The sequence below is a fragment of the Homo sapiens genome, chromosome X (assembly GCF_000001405.40).
Source record: "Homo sapiens chromosome X, GRCh38.p14 Primary Assembly".
NCBI lineage: Eukaryota > Metazoa > Chordata > Mammalia > Primates > Hominidae > Homo > Homo sapiens.
This window is the reverse complement of record NC_000023.11, coordinates 98,861,952-98,880,158: the sequence shown is the minus strand read 5'-3', so window position 1 is coordinate 98,880,158 and position 18,207 is coordinate 98,861,952. Positions and strand designations below refer to the sequence as shown.

At 35.6% G+C, this 18,207-nt stretch overlaps 1 long non-coding RNA gene across 2 annotated transcripts in view; it reads right to left on the bottom strand.

The window, feature by feature from the left end:
• Nucleotides 1–12,394: 12,394 nt before the first annotated feature.
• The window catches only part of LINC03077 (long intergenic non-protein coding RNA 3077), a 293,892-nt gene continuing 288,079 nt past the window's right edge, over nt 12,395–18,207 (bottom strand). For both annotated transcript variants that reach the window (NR_186574.1, NR_186575.1), the window contains one exon: nt 12,395–15,548. This is a non-coding gene — a long non-coding RNA (long intergenic non-protein coding RNA 3077). The remainder of the gene's footprint in view (nt 15,549–18,207) is intronic.

Here is an 18,207-nt window from a genome sequence, read left to right as displayed (position 1 = left end):
TTATAAATCATTTTTCTTTTTAAAATTAAAACAATTTTTCATTGTTTTTCTTTAGGTAAAAAAGTATAAGTTCATTTAGAATAAGATTATTCCAGGTTCAAAATAATGATACAAGTATATGAAAGCATTTTTTAAAAAATACCGTTGCTGCCTCTTATAGCAGAAAATGGTAAGTCTTCTTTGGCAGAAGTCTAAGAATTTGCAACTTAAATAACTGCTTAAAAAGTATTGGAAACCTTATAAAAATCAGGAAGTTATCCACTACTACAGTTAACGTTATTAACCTCTTAATATTGCCTTAAGAGAAAAAAAAGTTGGGCAAGTTAAATTGTTTCACGAAAGCTTTTATCCAGAAATTGTTCTCTCATGAAAAATACTTTTGGAAAGCTGCCTAGAATGCAACATTCAAGCATAAATTAAAGGTCAAGAATATGTTAATGAGAGGCATGCAATGTTCAGAACCACTTCATCCCCAACTGTCTCTTCTAACTCTGATTATTGCCCCTACCTTTGGCTCTATAGATACATTTTGAATCTCATTCATTTATGTTCTTCTATTGCTTTCTGACTCTATTCAGCAGTAGAACCATTCTAGAAATCATATTCACCATAACTCTCAGGATAACTTATCTAATGATAACTTCAAAAATGTTATTTCCTAGTTTCATTCCCCTTCTCCATCACGATGCTGTTGTCCGTATGGACTATAACTGAAAGATGCCAAATACGTAACATATTTTCTACCACTCTCCACTTCTACGCCCAGGTGTGGCCTCAGAATTATTCTTAACATAAAACCTGTGCAACCATTATTTCTCAATGGAATTGGATACTTGAATTGAAACTTTCTTATTATCCTTGGAAGTTAATTAACTAAACTGCACAGGAATATTCTGTTAAGGAAACAAACTCACTTATAGTTACTGGTTATACCATGTGATTAAATACCAAATATGTTGAGGGCAGCCTTTGAGACACAGGTCTCTTGCTGCCTCTAGTTTTCTGTTGCTCTCGATTCTGTTTCCACATTAGATCAGCTACTGCTTTTATATTCCCCTCTTTTTATTTCTAACCTTCCTTTATGTCATTCTGCTACTTTAGTCTTCATTCCAATGTGACACATACTCATATTTATTCCCTAGATCCCGGAAAAAATGTAAATTATTTTCCCTCTGTGACTACATTTCTCTTAATATCAGGTCAAAACTTCTAAAATGAGGATATGGATTTTTCTTCTGCAATAAGGACCAAAGTAACAGTGGTTTAAAAAATATAAAAATGTATTTCTCAAATAACAGTCTAAAGAAAGTAGCCCTGAGTCAATGTTGACTACATGGTGTTCAGAGACCTAGGTTCCTTCTATCTTCTTAATCTGCCATTGTCAACATTAAAGTGCTATATAGTGCTCATATCTTATATGTCTGCTCCAGCTACTGCCATCATGTTAACATATTAGATAGCTAGGTGAGGAGGAAGGAAAGAAAGGGCTTGATCCTCTTTTTAGTGGCATAACTGAGAAGTCTCACACATTACCTTTGCTCAACACCCATTGTTAGAACTTAGTCATGCTATACCAGACTAGAGGGGATACTAGGAAATGCAGTTTTCAGTCTTATGCTCAGCTAAAAGGTGAAAGTTCTATTATTAAATAAACAAGGGGAGAATGCATATTAGTGACAGCTAACCAATTCTGCCCAACTACTTTTTCTCAGACTAGTCATGTTCTCAACTCTAGTTAAATAATTTCCCTGAAATTTTGTCTGCTTTGTTTGGGACACACAGCATTGGCCTGTATCTATAATTTCCTCACTCTATAAGTCTGCTCTCTAAGCATCTTGACTCCTTTCACCTTAAATAATTAACCCCAGAACTTCATGTTTATTCATCAGAAGAGATGTAATACTTGTGAAAAGAGTATGGGTTATGTAGTCAGAGATCCTAGATGTAGGACCTTGGAGAAGTCATTAAATCTTTCTAGCTTCTATGCCATCTTTGCAGAATTATAGTGAACATTCAATGTGATAATATATGTGAAAGTTGGAAAAGTCTGTTAAAATGCTTTTGGCTGCTCCATTTCATTGTGGTATGTTACAACTGTCTCTCCATAGCATCACTACCCTATAACTTCCTAATTTGACATTCTGCTAAGTGATTTACTTCTCTAGGGTCCCAAGTCTTAACTCTTTGCTCTCCTTATTATTGGCACAGGTACAACATAATTATCTTTGAATTATTTGGCCCTAGAGACAATAGGGAGACTTACCCACATAGAATTTTATTGGGGTTTGATTTTTAGTTCTCTTCAGGTTACAGAATGGCATGATGTTATTCATTTCAGTTAGTACTCTATGCCCTCTAGGAACCCTACTTTGCGTCTACCTAACTAAGGCTAAGATTTGTAGTGATCTTTCTAATCCTTGATGGTATTTAATCTTCACATTCCCTTCCTGGGGCATTTTGTATTTATTTCAGCTATTTAGCATAAGTAATTTTAGCCATATGTAAAATCTGTCGAACTATACCGGTTCTACTGGTAACTATAACATGTGTTCCCTGTTCTCAATCAGAAAGGAGAAACTTTAGCTCACATAGAAAAGCAAGCTTTGTTTGCTTCAGAAAACAAATATTCTCATCTATGCTAGTCCCTATTATGAAATTGAGAGCCTTATGTAGGGAAGGTTATAGTATAAATTATACAGGGTGTCATATTTTCAGGAAATTGAATAATATGTGACATTAATCATGCTCAAATAGAGTTGATCACGGATTTAAAGTATACTATATTGTAATTTTGCAGGCTTTGTTAGAAATAGGGGTTAGAGAAATAAGTTTTAGGCATACTTTGAAGGCTTGTTGGCATTACACAGTCAATTTTAAAGTCAATGACTTAGAATATACTTGAAATGTTTATGTTTCTAGTAAATAAAAAATATGTGAGAGAAAAGTAACATCTACTGAAGGGCTAGTTTCACCATGTTCTATACTGCCTCTTTTATATCAATTTAATTAAAACTTAACAGCATTTCTTAAAGGTTGATATTCTTAAATATACCTTTTCATAATAAGGAAAATGATATTCAGAGAGATTAAGCATATTGTCTAAGTTACAGAGCTAGTAGGCACAGGACAAACTCTAGTGCACCTGCTCCAAAATCATTATTCATTCTTCAAGATCATGCTACTTTCTTGAAACACATGAAGGTAAACACACATGTTTTAAAATAAAATGTTATTAAGACATTGGTTTGCAACTCACCATTTGTAACTTTTGTAGAACAAGAATGATGTTTGGATATTGTCAAGCCATGTGGTGTATAGTTACTCTCTTCACAATTTACTGTTGATCAAGTTTAAAGTATAAGAAGCTGTCAGATACAATTAAGGAGTAAAAAATTGTACAATCAATATTAAAAATATAATTTTGTTAAGTATATCAGTTAGATTGTAGGTAAATCTTCCAAGAAGAAGTGGTTGGTAACTGTGCAGCTGAATTGCTTAAACCTAGTCTTGGCACTGCAACAGAACATGTGAAACATGAAATGCACACTGTAGCTTTTAGTTATTATGTTTTAGTAAGGAATGTAGTTGAGCAAGTTGGCCTTATCTTATTCCAATTCATGTCTGAAAAGTTACCTGAAAAGCAAAAAAAAAAAAAAAAAAAAAAAATGTTAACTGATTCCACATTTCCATTGATGCCATTATTATTCATTCAGACATGTATTCACCCAAGCAAAATATTTTGGCCAATTATGCAATAATGCAAATTCCACTAAACCTGGTCTAAGTCCTAAAGTTTGAGCTATAATTTCCAAGTATGACTAACCCAATGTTTATTTTGTAGACAAAAATCAAAACTCTCTAACTCTTAAAATGTTCAGAAGAAGAATATGTTTAGGTTTCAAAGACAGTATGAGCTCAGAACAATCAGAGGTCAGTTCCAAGGCCAGGAGATCCCTATGGTCCCTTCCAACTTTCTTATTTTAGTCCTAGGATAAATGCCAGCCTCTCTGTCTTCTGAACATAAACAGCATGTATCTTTTACATGTTAAAACTCTGATAACTCTAATTGTATATATGCTACAATATTTGAAGAATCAAAGAAAATTAAAAATACCCTTTTTCCAAACTTGCAAAGCCAGAATCAAGAATGACATGGGGATCCCTCCTATGCCACAACCACCACCAGTGAAGCAAACACATGTAGCCCTGCTCCTGCGGATACCCCACCCCAGCTGACATGTCTGCACTGCTGTGGCTACTGGCATGTGTGAGTGAGCATAAATCCCACAGCCACCACCCTGAAAAATCACTTTGCACAGCACCATGCATTGGAGTTTTGTGGCCAGCAGACTGAGAACAACTTAGCACCTCCAGTACAGCAGGTTTCTAACCTCAAGGGATCAGAAAACAAAGCTGGGGGCTCAATACCAGTCTGCAGAGTTAGAGCACACAACCCAGGAGTGCTGAGCTGAGACTTGGCCTCCCAAAATCTTCCAGAAATTAAGCCAGTTGACTTAACCCATGGTATACCACAATCAAACCCCCAAGTCCATCAAAGAAAAAAAAGCAAACAAAACAAACCAGAAAAAACAAACAAACAAAAAACACCCATCCAAAGGACGACAACTTCAAAGACCGAAGGAACATCAGCCCACACATATGATAAAAAATCAATACAAGAACTCTGGCAACTCAAAGACCAGAGTGTATTATTATCTCCAAGGAACTACATTAGCTCCCCAGCAATTGTTTTTAATCAGGCTGAAATGGGTGAAATGACAGAAATAAAATTCAGAATAGATAGGAATAAAGATCATTGAGATTCAGAGAAAGTTGAAACCCAATTCAGGGATTCTAAAGAACACAAGAAAATAATACAGGAACTGAAAGACATAAGGATCATTTTAAGAAAGAACCAACCAAACTAATCTGATAGAGATGAAAATCTCAGTTCAAGAATTTTTAATACAATCACATGTATAACAGTAGAATAAACAAAGCTGAGGAAAAAATCTAAGTGCTTGAAGACAGGAAATTACTCAATCAGACAAAAACAAAGAAAAAAGAAAAAGCAGATTACATGAACACTCTGAGAGATATGGAATTATGTAGAGACTAAATTTATGACTTATTGGCATCATCTTTATCATCCTGAAAGAGAGGAAGAGAAAACAAGCAGCCTGGAAAGCATATTTGAGGATATCATCCATGAAAATTTCCCCAACCTTGCTAGACAGGCCAACATTCAAATTCAGGAAATGTGGAGAAGCCCTGCAAAATATTATAAAAGATGACCATCCCAAAGACACATAATCTTCAGATTCCCTAAGGTCAAAATGAAAGAAAAAATGTTAAATGCTGCTACAGAGAAAGGGTAGGTCACCTACAAAGGAAACCTTATTAGGCTAACAGTGGACAATTCAGCAGAAATTCTACAAGCCAGAAGAGATTGGTGGCCTATATACAACACCCTAAAAGAAAAGAATTTCCAACCAAGAAATTCATATTCAGCCAAACTAACTTCATAAGAAAATGAGAAATAAAATCTTTTTCACACATGCAAATGCTAAGGGAATGTGTTATCACCAGATTTATCTTTCAAGAGATTCTTAAGGGGGTGCTAAACATGACAATGAAAGACCACTACGGGCCACCACAAGGAAACAGTTAAGTACATATACCATTGACGCTATAAAGCAACTACATAATCAAGTCTACTTGACAACCAGCTAACAACACAATGACAGGATCAAATTTGCACATATCAATATTAGCCATAAACATAAAGGGGATAATCTCTCCACTTAAAAGCCACAGTTAAAGTAAGTTAAAGAAACGATACTCAACTGTATGCTGTTTTCAGGAGATCAATATCACATGCATTGCCAGCAATAGGCTCAAAGTAAAGGGATAGAGAAAAATCTACTAAGCAAAGGGAAAACAGAAAAAAAGCAGGGGTTGTTATTCTAATTTCAGAAAAGAAAAACAGACTTTAAAAAAACAACAATCAAAAAAAGACAAAGAAGGACATTAAATAATGGTAAAGTGTTCAACTCCACAAGACCTAACTACCTTAAATATATATGCCCTCAACAAAGCAGCACCCATATTCATGAAACAAGTTCTTAGAGACCGAGATCCAAAGACCTAGATCCAAAGAGACCCAGATAACCACACAATAATGCTGTGAGACCTCAGCACCCCACTGACAGTATTGGGCAAATCATTCAGGCAGAAATCTAACAAAAACATTCAGGATCTGAACTTAACACTTGATCAAATAGACCTAATACCATCTACAGAACACTCCACCCAACGACAACATAATATGCATTCTTCTCATCTACAAGTGATACATACTCTAAAATCAACATCATGGTTGGCCATAAAACAATTCTTAGCAAATAAAAAACTGCAATCATACCAACCACACTCTCAGACAACAGTGCAATAAAAATACAAAAAAATACTGAGAAAATAACATAAAGCCATAAAACTATATTAAAATTAAACAAGCTGTCTTGGAATGACTTTTAGGTAAACAATGAGATTAAGGGAAAAATCAAGAAATTCTTTGGAATTAATGAGAACAAAGATACAACATAGGAAAATCTCTAAGACACATTTAAACAATTGTTAAGAGGGAAATTTGTAGTGCTAAAGGCCCACATCAAAAACTTAAAGAGATTTCAAATCAACAACTTAGCATCTAGAGGGACTAGAGAAACAAGAATAAATTAACCCAAAAACTAGCAAAAACAAAAAAGAAAGAAAGAAATAATCCAAATCATAGCTGAAGTGAAAGATGAGATGAAAAGAAAAATATACAAAAGATCAATAAATTAAGGACTGTATTAGTTTGTTCTCATGCTGTTATAAATAAATACCCAAGACTGGATAATTTATAAAGAAAAGAAGTTCAATTGACTCACAGTTCCACATGGCTTGGGAGCCCTCATGAAACTTACAATCATGGTGGAAGGTACCTCTTTAAAGGGTGGCAGGAGAAACAATGAATGCTAGCAGGGGAAAGGCAAGATGCTTATAAAACCGTCAGATCTCATGAGGACTCACTCACATACGAGAACAGTATGGGGGAAACTGCCCCCATAATTCAGTTACCTCCCACCAGTTCCTTCTCACAACACATGGGGATTATTACAATTCAAGGTGAGATTTGGGTGAGTACACAGAGCCAAACCATATCAAGGACTTTGTTATTTGAAAGAATAAATTAGACTCATAGACCACTAACTAGACTTATAAAGAAAAAAAAAGAAGATGCAAATAAACACTATGAGAAATGTCAAAGAAGTCATTATCACCAACTCCACAGAAATACAAAAAACCCTCAGAGACTAGCATGAACACCTCTATGCACACAAGCTAGAAAACCCAGAAAAAAATTGGATAAATCCCTGGAAACATACAACTTCCAAAGATTGAACCAGGAACAAATTGAATCCCTGAACAGACCAACAATGAGTTTGAAATTTAATCAATAATAAAACCCTAACAAACAGAAAAAAACCCAGGACAATACAGATTCACAGCTGAATTCTACCAGATATGTAAAGAAGAGCTAGTACCATTTCTACTGAAACTATTCCAAAAAATTGTTGAGGAGGGACTCCTACCTAACTCACTCTATGAGACTAGTGTCATTCTGATACCAAAACCTGCCAGAAACACAACACAAAAAGCAAACTTCAGACAAATATCCTTGATAAACATAGATGCAAAAATACTCAAAAAAATACTATTAAACCAAATTCAGCAGCATATCAAAAAACTAATCTACCACCAAGTAGGCTTTATCCCTGGGATGCAAGGTTGGTTCAATATACACAAACCAATAAATGTGATTCATCACATAAACAAAACTAAAAACAAGAACCACATGATCATCTCAATAGATGCAGGAAAGGCTTTCAATAAGATTTAATATTTCTTCATGTTAAAAATCCCTCAAGAAACTAGGTGTTAAAGGAACAAACCTGAACATAATAAGAACCATCTATGAAAAACCCACAGCCAATGTCATAATAAATTGGCAAAAGCCAGAAGCATTACTTTTGAGGACCAGAACAAGACAAAGATTCCCTCTCTCACCACTGCCATTCAACATAGTGCTGGAAGTGCTAGCCAGAGTCATCAGGCAAGAGAAAAAAATTAAAGGCATCCAAATAAAAAGAGGGAAAGACAAACTATCTCTGTTTGCAGACAATATGATTTTTATGTAGAAAATCCCAGAGTCTATACTCAAAAGCTCCTGGATCTGGTAAACAACTTCAGCAAAGTATCAGGATACAAAATCAATGTACAAAAATTAGTAGCTTTTCTATATATCAACAATGTCTAAGCTGAGAGCCAATTCAAGAAGGTGATTTCATTCACAACAGGAACAAAACAGAAATACCTAGGCGTACAGCTAACTAGGAAGGTAAAGATCTCTACAATGAGAATGATAAAAAGTTGCTCAAAGAAATCAGAGATGACACAAACAAATGGAAGAACATTCCATGCTCGTGGATAGGAAGACTCAATGTTAAAATGGCTATACTACACATGGCAATTTACAGATTCAATTCTCTATCAAACCACCAATGTCATTCTTCACAGAATTAGAAAAAAAATTTAACATTTATATGGAAATCCCCCTCAAAAAAAAAAAAAAAGCAAGAATAGTCAAAGCAATCCTAAGCAAAAAGAACAAAGCCAAAGACATCACACTATCTGACTTCAAGCTATACTGCAAAGCTACAGTAACCAAAACAGCATGGTTCTGGTACAAAAACAGACACATAGACCGGTGGAACACAGTAAAGAGCCTAGGAATATACTTGCACAATTACAACCATCTGATCTTCAACAAAGCTGAGAAAAACAATCAATAGGCAAAGGACTGCATACTAAATAAATGGCGCTGGCATTACTGGCTAGCCATATGCATAAGATTGAAACTAGACCCTTTCCCTACATCATATATAAAAATCAACTCAAGATGGATTAAAGACTTAAATGTAAAAACTCTAACTATGAAAATCATGAAAGATAACCTAGGAAATGCCATTCTGAACATAGGCATTCTGGCAAAGATTTCATGTTGAAAAATGCCAAAAGTGATTGCAACAGAAACAAAAATTCAGAAATAGGATCTAATTAAACTAAAGAGCTTCTGCACAGCAACAGAAACTATCAACAGATTAACTAGACAATCTGAAGTATAGGAGATAATATTGCAGACTATGCATCCCATAAAGGTCTAATATCCAGAATCTATAAGAAACTTAAATAAATTAACAAGCAAAAACCAAACAATGCCATTAAAAAGTGGGCAAATAACATGAACAGAAAATTCCCAAAAGAAGACATACACATGGCCAACAAGCATATGAAAAAATTCCAACATCACTAATCATTAGAGAAATGCAAATCAAAACCATAGTGAGATACCATCTCACAGCAGTCAGAATGGCTATTATTAAAGTGTCTATAAATAATAGATGCTGGCCAAGTGTGGTGGCTCTTGCCTGTAATCCCTGCACTTTGGGAGGCCAAGGCAGGTGGATCACAAGGTCAGGAGTTTGAGACCACCCTGGCCAACATAGTGAAACCCCATCTCTACTAAAAATACAAAAAATTAGCCAGGCATGGTGGCAGGCACCTGTAATCACAGCTACTTGGGAGGCTGAGGCAGGAGAATTGCTTGAACCTGGGAGTGGAGGTTGCAGTGAGCCAAGATAGTGCCACTGCAATCCAGCCTGGGAGACAGAGCAAGACTCCGTCTCAAAAAAATAAATAAATAAATAAAAATAACAGATGCCGGTAAGGTAAGGTTGCAGAGATAAATGAAGTCTTATACACTCCTGGTTGGAATGTAAGTTAGTTCAGCCATTATGGAAAGTAGTTAAAATGAAAGTACCATTCAACCCTGCAATCCCATGATTGGGTACATACTTAAAGGAATATAAGTTTTTCTACCATAAAAACATATGCACATGTATGTTCATTGCAGCAGTATTAACAATAGCAATGACATGGAATCAATTTAAATGAACATTAATAGTAGATTGGATAAGAAAATATAGTATATATACACCATGAAATACTATGTAGCCATTAAAACAACAACAACAACAACAAGATCATGTCCTTTGCAGGACCATGAATGGAGCTAGAGGCCATTATCCTAAGTGAACTAATGCAGGAAGAAAAAACCAAATGCCACTTGTTCTCACCTATAAGTGGGAGCTAAACTTTGAGTACACATGAACATGAAGAAGGGAACAACAGACCCCAGAGCCTACTTGAGTGTGGAGAGCGGGAGGAGGGTGAGGATCAAAAAACTATTTATCTGTGGGTGCTATGCTTATTACCTTAGTGATGAAATAATTTGTACACCATACTTCCATGGCATGCCATTTACCCATATAACAAACCTACACATGTACTCCTGAACCTAAAATAAAAGTTAAAAAAATAACAACATGGCTTATTTGGCTTTGGTGATGTATATTACTGGGCAAACTGAGAGCTGACTGTTAAGTCACAGTTCCACTCTGGAGAAACCACAGCTTTGGTTGAGAGTGACTACTGGTTAGATTAAATGAGTGACTAACCTCAAAGAGTAAAGCACTAAAACTGGTCCTAGTTTCTAGAATCCAAAACAACAGTCAATGCTTACTATGGTAATTCAATGTAACTAGGGCATTAACAATTTCTAACGTGCCTTCCAGTTCAAAAACAAAAGCTAATGTATAATATAGATGAGGTACATGAGAACATGTTAAACTATCTTTAATAGTATTTTTCTTCTCACCTATGCTATATGAATAGGTTTAAAAAAGTTTGGAAAAGCAATGTAATTGCACAGGTGTCTAGTTACATCATGACCACTGCTGAAGCTAACAAACTGCAGAAAGTACAAAGCTATTCTCCCATAAAGAGGATGTTGCACACAGGGATGGGAAATATCCATATTGAAAATCTCCAAGGATAAATTCCAATAGGCAAAGTTTATCTACAGTATTTTCACTCTAGAGGCAGCAACCTTAAGTGGCCTTCTATACACAAAAATATTTTTTCATTATAGGGTTAAGACCTTTTCATATTAATGTCAAGCACTTTCCTCCATGTTACTACTCAGAGAAAAATGAACAGAGGATCTTCTAAAATTATGAAAATTATGAAATCCTTATATATCCATATTCACATATATAAATATATATTATATTATATATATATATAAATTAGCATTCTTCGACAAAATGGTTTAAATCCAATTATCCAGCAGATCTCAATGTATGTGAAACTGGAGCCTGAGTTTACTCCATTTGTGTTTTTGCTTTCACCTTTCCTGCAATCTTAACCCCTTGAAATGAGTTTCTCACATTTCCCTGAGGTCAGGAGTGCAGAGTTGCATGCAGTAGAAACACGTTAGCTATTTTCTCATGGGCCAGTCCATTATTATTACACAGTTATTAGAACATAAGGAAATAGGCATAGAATATAAGGAAATAGGCACAGAACATTTACCTAATGCCTCACCTCATCTGTAGTGAAGCCTGGTTTTCTTCCCAATAATACTAATATATTTTGGCTCTGTAAATTACAGAGAATAAATGTATACTATGACATGAAACAGAGACACGTGACAGAGCCAACTACAGAAAGGGGATGGGGTAAACTACAATGAACAAGTGAAGTTACCCTGAAACCCTTGATGAAAAGTTTTACTCCCCTTCCTTGTGGGTGGCAAATAGTCTGACAAGCTTTGCTCTAGCATTCAGTGTATTTTTTGACATTAAACCAGAAAGACATGATGGCATTTCTAAGTTCACTAACAATAAAATTTCACAGGTAAGCTTTAAGAATTACAAAGAAAGGAGAAAAGGTGGAAAGAATGGAACTATGCACATAGTTTCTAATAAATGTCAACCTACCGTCTCTTGTTATGCTCTAACCAGAAAAAGGGGATGAGGGTGGCTTCCAAAATGTCTCATCAAGTTTTGGTTGCAACATTTTGCAATCATAATAATGAAACTATGAATTATAAGTTCATGAGAACAAGATCTTATTGAAAATAAAATATTTTTAAAAATGATTATAAAAGAACTTAAGAAAAATTGCTTATCTCCCATTCAGTATGATCTAGTATAAAGTCAGAAGATCTCAGTCAAATTGTTCCCTCTCTTATCATTCTATTTTCATTTTTATTAGCTCTTGTTTATACTCAAAAGATGGGGTTATAAAGGTGATAATGGTCAGATCTAGAAGTGAACTCTCTTACTGCAATAATTATGCTTTATTGATTTGTTAAATGTTTATATTCTGAAAAAACATTTAATAGTATTAAAATTTCAATCATTAGCCTCATACTAATTAACATAAATTTCACACCATGCATATCAATCACTTTATTTTAATACAAATAATGCACTTAAAGGAAAAATTTCCCAAATGTCTTTATTTTTGACTTGGCAAATAATGTTAACAATTATATATTCTAATATAGTCAGATAGGGGCTCCATATTTAGCTACATGAGTAAAATTCTGTTTCCATTCTGTGTTGAATATTTATGCTAAAATTTATTTTGATTTTTCTAAGTTGCACATCTCTTTTACATACCTTCTGAAGTAAATGACACCCTCCACATTCAAATCAAAAGAGACAGAGAAGTGGCTTAAAATTCATATTAATAGTTGGATTCAAAATTTAAACATTATTATAAACATAGAACTGCAACAGCTGTTGGCTTAAATTTGTGTGTAGATCCACACAGTCAACTGCTCTGTGACAAAGGAGCAATGATAATTCCAGGAAGAAAAAGCAATCCTCAACAAATGGTGCTGGAACAACTGGATATTCATATGCAAAAAAGATTCTATACACAGATCTTAAACATTTCAAAAATAATTAATTTAAAATGAATCATAAACCTAAATTTAAAGCTAAAAACTATAAAACTAATAGAAGATACTATGGGAGAAAGTCTAGGTGACCTTAGGTTTGGTGATGACTTTCTAGATGCAACACCAGAAGCACAATACATGAAAGAAAATATTGATTAGGTGTACTTTATTAAAAATAAAAACTTCTGCTCTGTGAAAGACACTGTTGGGAGAATGAAAATACAAGCCACAGATTGGAAGAAAATCTTTGCAAAATACATATCTGATAAAGGACTGAGCTCTAAAATGTATGAATAACTCTTTAAACTGAACAAAGCAACAACCCAATTAAAATATGGGCTGAAAACCTGAACAGACATCTGACCAAAGAATGTGTGTGTGTGTACATATATATGATATAAAATATGCTCAACATCATTTGTCATCAGGAAATTATAAATTAAAACAACGAGGAGATACCATGATACACCTAGTAGAATGTCTAAAATTCTAAATGCTTACACCAAATGCTGGAGAGGATGTGGAACAACAGAAACTCTCATTCATTACTAATGAAAATGCAAACAGTTACAGCCAATTTAGAAGAGAGTTTGGCAGCTTTTTACAGAAGTAAGCATATTCTTACTAATATGATTGGCTGTGTCCCCACCAAATCTCATCTTGAATTGTAGCTCTCATAATTTCCACATGTTGTGGAGGGGCCCAGTGGGAGATAATTGAATGATGGGGGTAGTTTCCCCCATACTGTTCTCGAGGTAGTGAATAAGTCTTATGAGATCTGATGGTTTTATAGGGGGAAACCCCTTTCATTGGCTCTCATTCTCTTTTGCCCGCAGCCATATAAGACATGTCTTTCCCTTTCCACCATGGTTGTGAGGCCTCCCCAGCCACACGGAACTGTGAGTCCATTAAACCTCTGCTTCTTTATAAGTTAGCCAGTCTCTTGTATGTCTTTATCAGCAGCATAAAAATAGACTAATTTACTAACCATACAATCCAGCAACTGCACTCTATGGCATTTACACAAATGAGATGAAAACTTCTATCTGCACAAAAACCTGCACAGATTTATAGCAGTTTTATTTACAATTGCCAAAACTTGAAGCAAATAAGATCTTTCCCAATAGGTGAATGGATAAACAAATGGTATTACACCTAATCAATGGAATATTTTCCAACAACAGGAATAAATGACTTGTGGCAGGGTTTCAAAATGGCAGCATAGAAGCAAACTGGCTTCACTCCCCCTCCACAAAATATAAAAACCAATATACACTGCAGAGACTATCACCAACAATATCCCAGAACTCAAATATGAGAGTGAGGCAGTTCCCAGGACTACAGAGAATTAAAACAAAACAAAACAAAAAAACAACTTGGAACATATGGTAAGAGAATTGGACCTTCATAACCAGAATGTTCCTCTCCTTAATCTTTCTAGTACCTGCTACTGGTGGTGAATCGGTACAGGTCTGCAGCAACCTCAATTCTAGCCTCCTCAGAAGAAAGAATTTAACTGAGGGGCATAGGTAGAAGGAGAGACTGAAGCAAATTTTAGATTTGTACCCCCAGAATTAGAATATTAATCCATATTTTTACATTACCCATCTATTTGTTGCTTCTGAGTCGAGCCAGAGATCACTGGTTGGTTCAGAGAAACAAGCAAGGTTAGTCTAAGTTGCAGACAAGAATTCAAAAAGTGAAAATTTATTAAAAAGCTTTAGAGTAGTAACAAAAGGAAGGAAAGTACACTTGGAAGAGGGTCAAGTGGGTGACTTGAAAGACAAGTGCATGATTTGACCTTTTGACTTAGGGTTTAATACATTGGCATATTCCCGGGGTCTTGCATCCCTACACCCTTGAGACTTTCTTTGGGGTGGGCTGTCCCCATGTGCACTGGCCTGCCAGCACTTGAGAGGGGAGCATGCACAGTGTGTTTAGTGGAGTTGTATGCATGCTTACTTGAGGCATTTTTCCCTTACATGCTGAATGTCCATTGGAAGTCATATACCAGTTAAACTGTGCCATTTTGCCTCTTAGTGCGCATGTGTAGGCCAGCTTGCCAAACTTCTGAGACCTGATCAGGAAGCTGCTGATCATCAGCTCCAGGTGTTTCTGTTTATTGAGAGACTGCCTTTCCATTGCACTGGTTGTGACCAATCGTTATTTTAGAGACACAGTTAACAACCACCTTACAATCGCCTGATGGTTGCCCAGGATTCTTTGTGTGTGGGGTGTGTGTGTGTGTGTGTGTGTGTGTGTGTGTAAGCCCTCTTCTGCTCTGCTCATGTCTGACTAGCTACCTACTGTAACATTTCCTCCCTCAAGATTCCAAGACCCCAATTCTTTGGGGAAAATGGGCAAAGGTTAGTCTTTTGTAACCGCTTCCTGCTGACAGAGGGATGATGGTGGTTGTTCTGTGGGTCTTGGCCTCTTGCTAGCTTTCATGGCAGGGGGGTGGTTCCATGGGTTGATGAATGCAGTTTCCAGCCAGGTCCAAGGGAGACAGGAGCATGACTTTACCTCTGTCATGTCTCACTTATGGGCAGTCTAGAGGTCCCTTGTAGAAGGGTGACTCTTGGATATTGAGCGGACAGTATACCTCACTGAGGATTATCTGGAGCTTGAAGGCCTGAAGGTGAGAGGGGACAAAATGAGTTATTAGATTTAGAAGAATGTTAAAACAAGGCTGGGCATGGCTTATGCCTGTAGTCCTAGCACTTTGGGAGGCTGAAGCAAGCATATCACTTAAGGCCAGGAGTTTGAGATCAGCCTGGCCAACATAGCAAAACCCTGTCTCTACCAAAAACACAAAAGTGAGCCAGGCATGGTGGTGCATGCTTATAGTTTCAGCTATCCAGGAGGCTAAAGTGGGAGAATCACTTGAACCTGGGAAGAGGAGGTGGCAATGAGCCAATATTGTGCTGCTACATTCCAGCCTGGGGGGACAAAGCAAGACTCTGTCTCAAGAAAAAAAAAAAGCAGAAGAATGTTAAAACAAAATAAGGGGGTGAGGATGACTCCAAAATTTCCTGAGGCTGCCAACATGCCTAGGTAGTTGGTGGTTATAGTCATGCCTACTAGAACTTGGGGTTTATGAGGTTGCTAGTCAATTCCAATATACCTCCAGAATTAGAATATTGATCTAGAACTTTACATTACCCATCCCTTTTGTTTCTTCTGAGCTGTAGCCAGAGATCACTGTTTGGTTAGGAGGAATAAGCAAGGTTAGTCTAAATTTCAGACAAAGATTCAAGAACAACTGATGGGACTAGAATATAATAATAGGTGTACCATAGTTCTTGAAACATAATTTTTCTCTCTCCAATCCTCAATTTTATTAAAAACAAATTATGATAAGACTGATTTGTTTGCAAAATAAGCTTTAGTCTTATTATACATGATCTCATTATTTGGATAAAGCACAGCAAGAATAATTATTTACCATATAGGCTCTTTTTAAATTGGCTTTGAGGGAACTTTATTTGATAAGGAATCTCAGATAAGACTCTTTTTAAAGCCTTAAGCCCACTCATGAGTTTATGCCATCAAATACCTGTATAACTTGGGTAAATCTCCCCCCTCTTGAGGTCCCAAGAAAACTTAGGGCTCCTGGGCCTGTTAGAAAGTGACACTCTACTTACCACATGTCAGGAACCCTGTACAGGGACTGTTTAGACAAAGTGTAAGGTGAGTTTTCCCAAGGGGCTTTCATTGGCTGTGTAAGTCACATTCGATTCCTTAAAAAGGAATCAAAGCACATCACTCCAGTCAAAGCCTTGCTAAAATAACCAAGTTTCTCCAATTGTGTCTGTTGTAAAAGAAGACAGATTCTTATTGCACTTATGCAAATAACTAAATTGCCATATGTTAAGAATACTCACAAATGGCTTCCAAATTTTGGAGAAATCTGGTAGAAATATGCTCCAAAATTTTTTATAGGAGTATACTTTACTCAATTGTTAAAAGCTATAAATAGCTCAAAAGAAAAGTCTTCTTGGCTTTGAAAAACAAAGGATTTGCAACTTTTTAAGGAAAAAAATCACAAAAGGATTATTTAATTCTTCTAGAACATTTACTCCATGCAGTTCACTCCTGTTCTGATTGATATTCATGAACATTTCAGCTCTCCATGATAGTCCTGAAAGCTTTTCTTCTATTTTAATGTCACAATCTCCAAAGTTATCAGAAACCTGCATTTAAGCCTACAGCTGATTATAAAATTAAAACAAAACAATTGTCTGTGGATAACAAAATGTCTAAGGGCAGCCACAGTCAAAGACACAATTGACAAGGAAATTTGTTATTTCTGTGGCACATAATAATCTTATATAACAATAATTATTACTGATAACATATACTAAGTCATATCAGAATTATAGGAGTTTTGCATAACTTTAGGACACATACCAATAATACATTTATACAAATACAGGTGAAAGAAATCCAGGTATTACCTTTGCATTAGTGTACTATTGATGTCAAACCCATTTGTTAATAAAACCTCATAGAGAAATCTATACACTTTTATTCAGTCTGACCATAAGTTAAGATTCTCATAAGCTTTTCATAACCCTTTACCATGTTTTTGTTAAAAAGCAGAAAAATTCTCTAAGAAAAACCTGTCATGGTTTTAGTCTAATATTCAATTTACTGGAAAACTGAATAATACCCTTTTAACTTTAGCCAATATGTTCACACACAGAATTTCTTTTACAAGATTAATTTTTTACAAACCTTTCACAACTTGTGCAAACCTTGAGATCTTTCCTATCTAACTTAAAACAAGCCTTAACCCTTTAATCTAGGCAAAAAAAATCCACATTTCCATGCCTTCTTATAATCTTTTACTAAAAACGCATTTTACTTTCCAACACACCTTGTGCGTAACACTGTTTCTTCAGTACTCTCAACTACATGTTACAATGTTAACTCTTAGCAACTTTTATTTTTGGTGAAAAACCTGGCAAGTAAGTGATTTTAATTATTAAGTATAAAGCCTGGGACACTAGACAGAAGTGCAGATGAGCTCTGACCCTTTCCTGTGTAGCCAGAGGGAATGGATAACTCCACACGTGCCCAGGCATTACCTAAAATCAAATGGTTCCCAAACAGGTAAGTTGAACAATTTTCAATAGTCACAGAAGCAGATTATGACCTTAAAGCATTTAGAAAACTGGATGTCTTACCTGCCTAATTTAGACCAAATGTTTAAATTTCTGAAGATTTTTTATTTTACCAATAATCTTTAAAACTGTCTTTATTTATTAAAGATTACTTAAGTAACATGA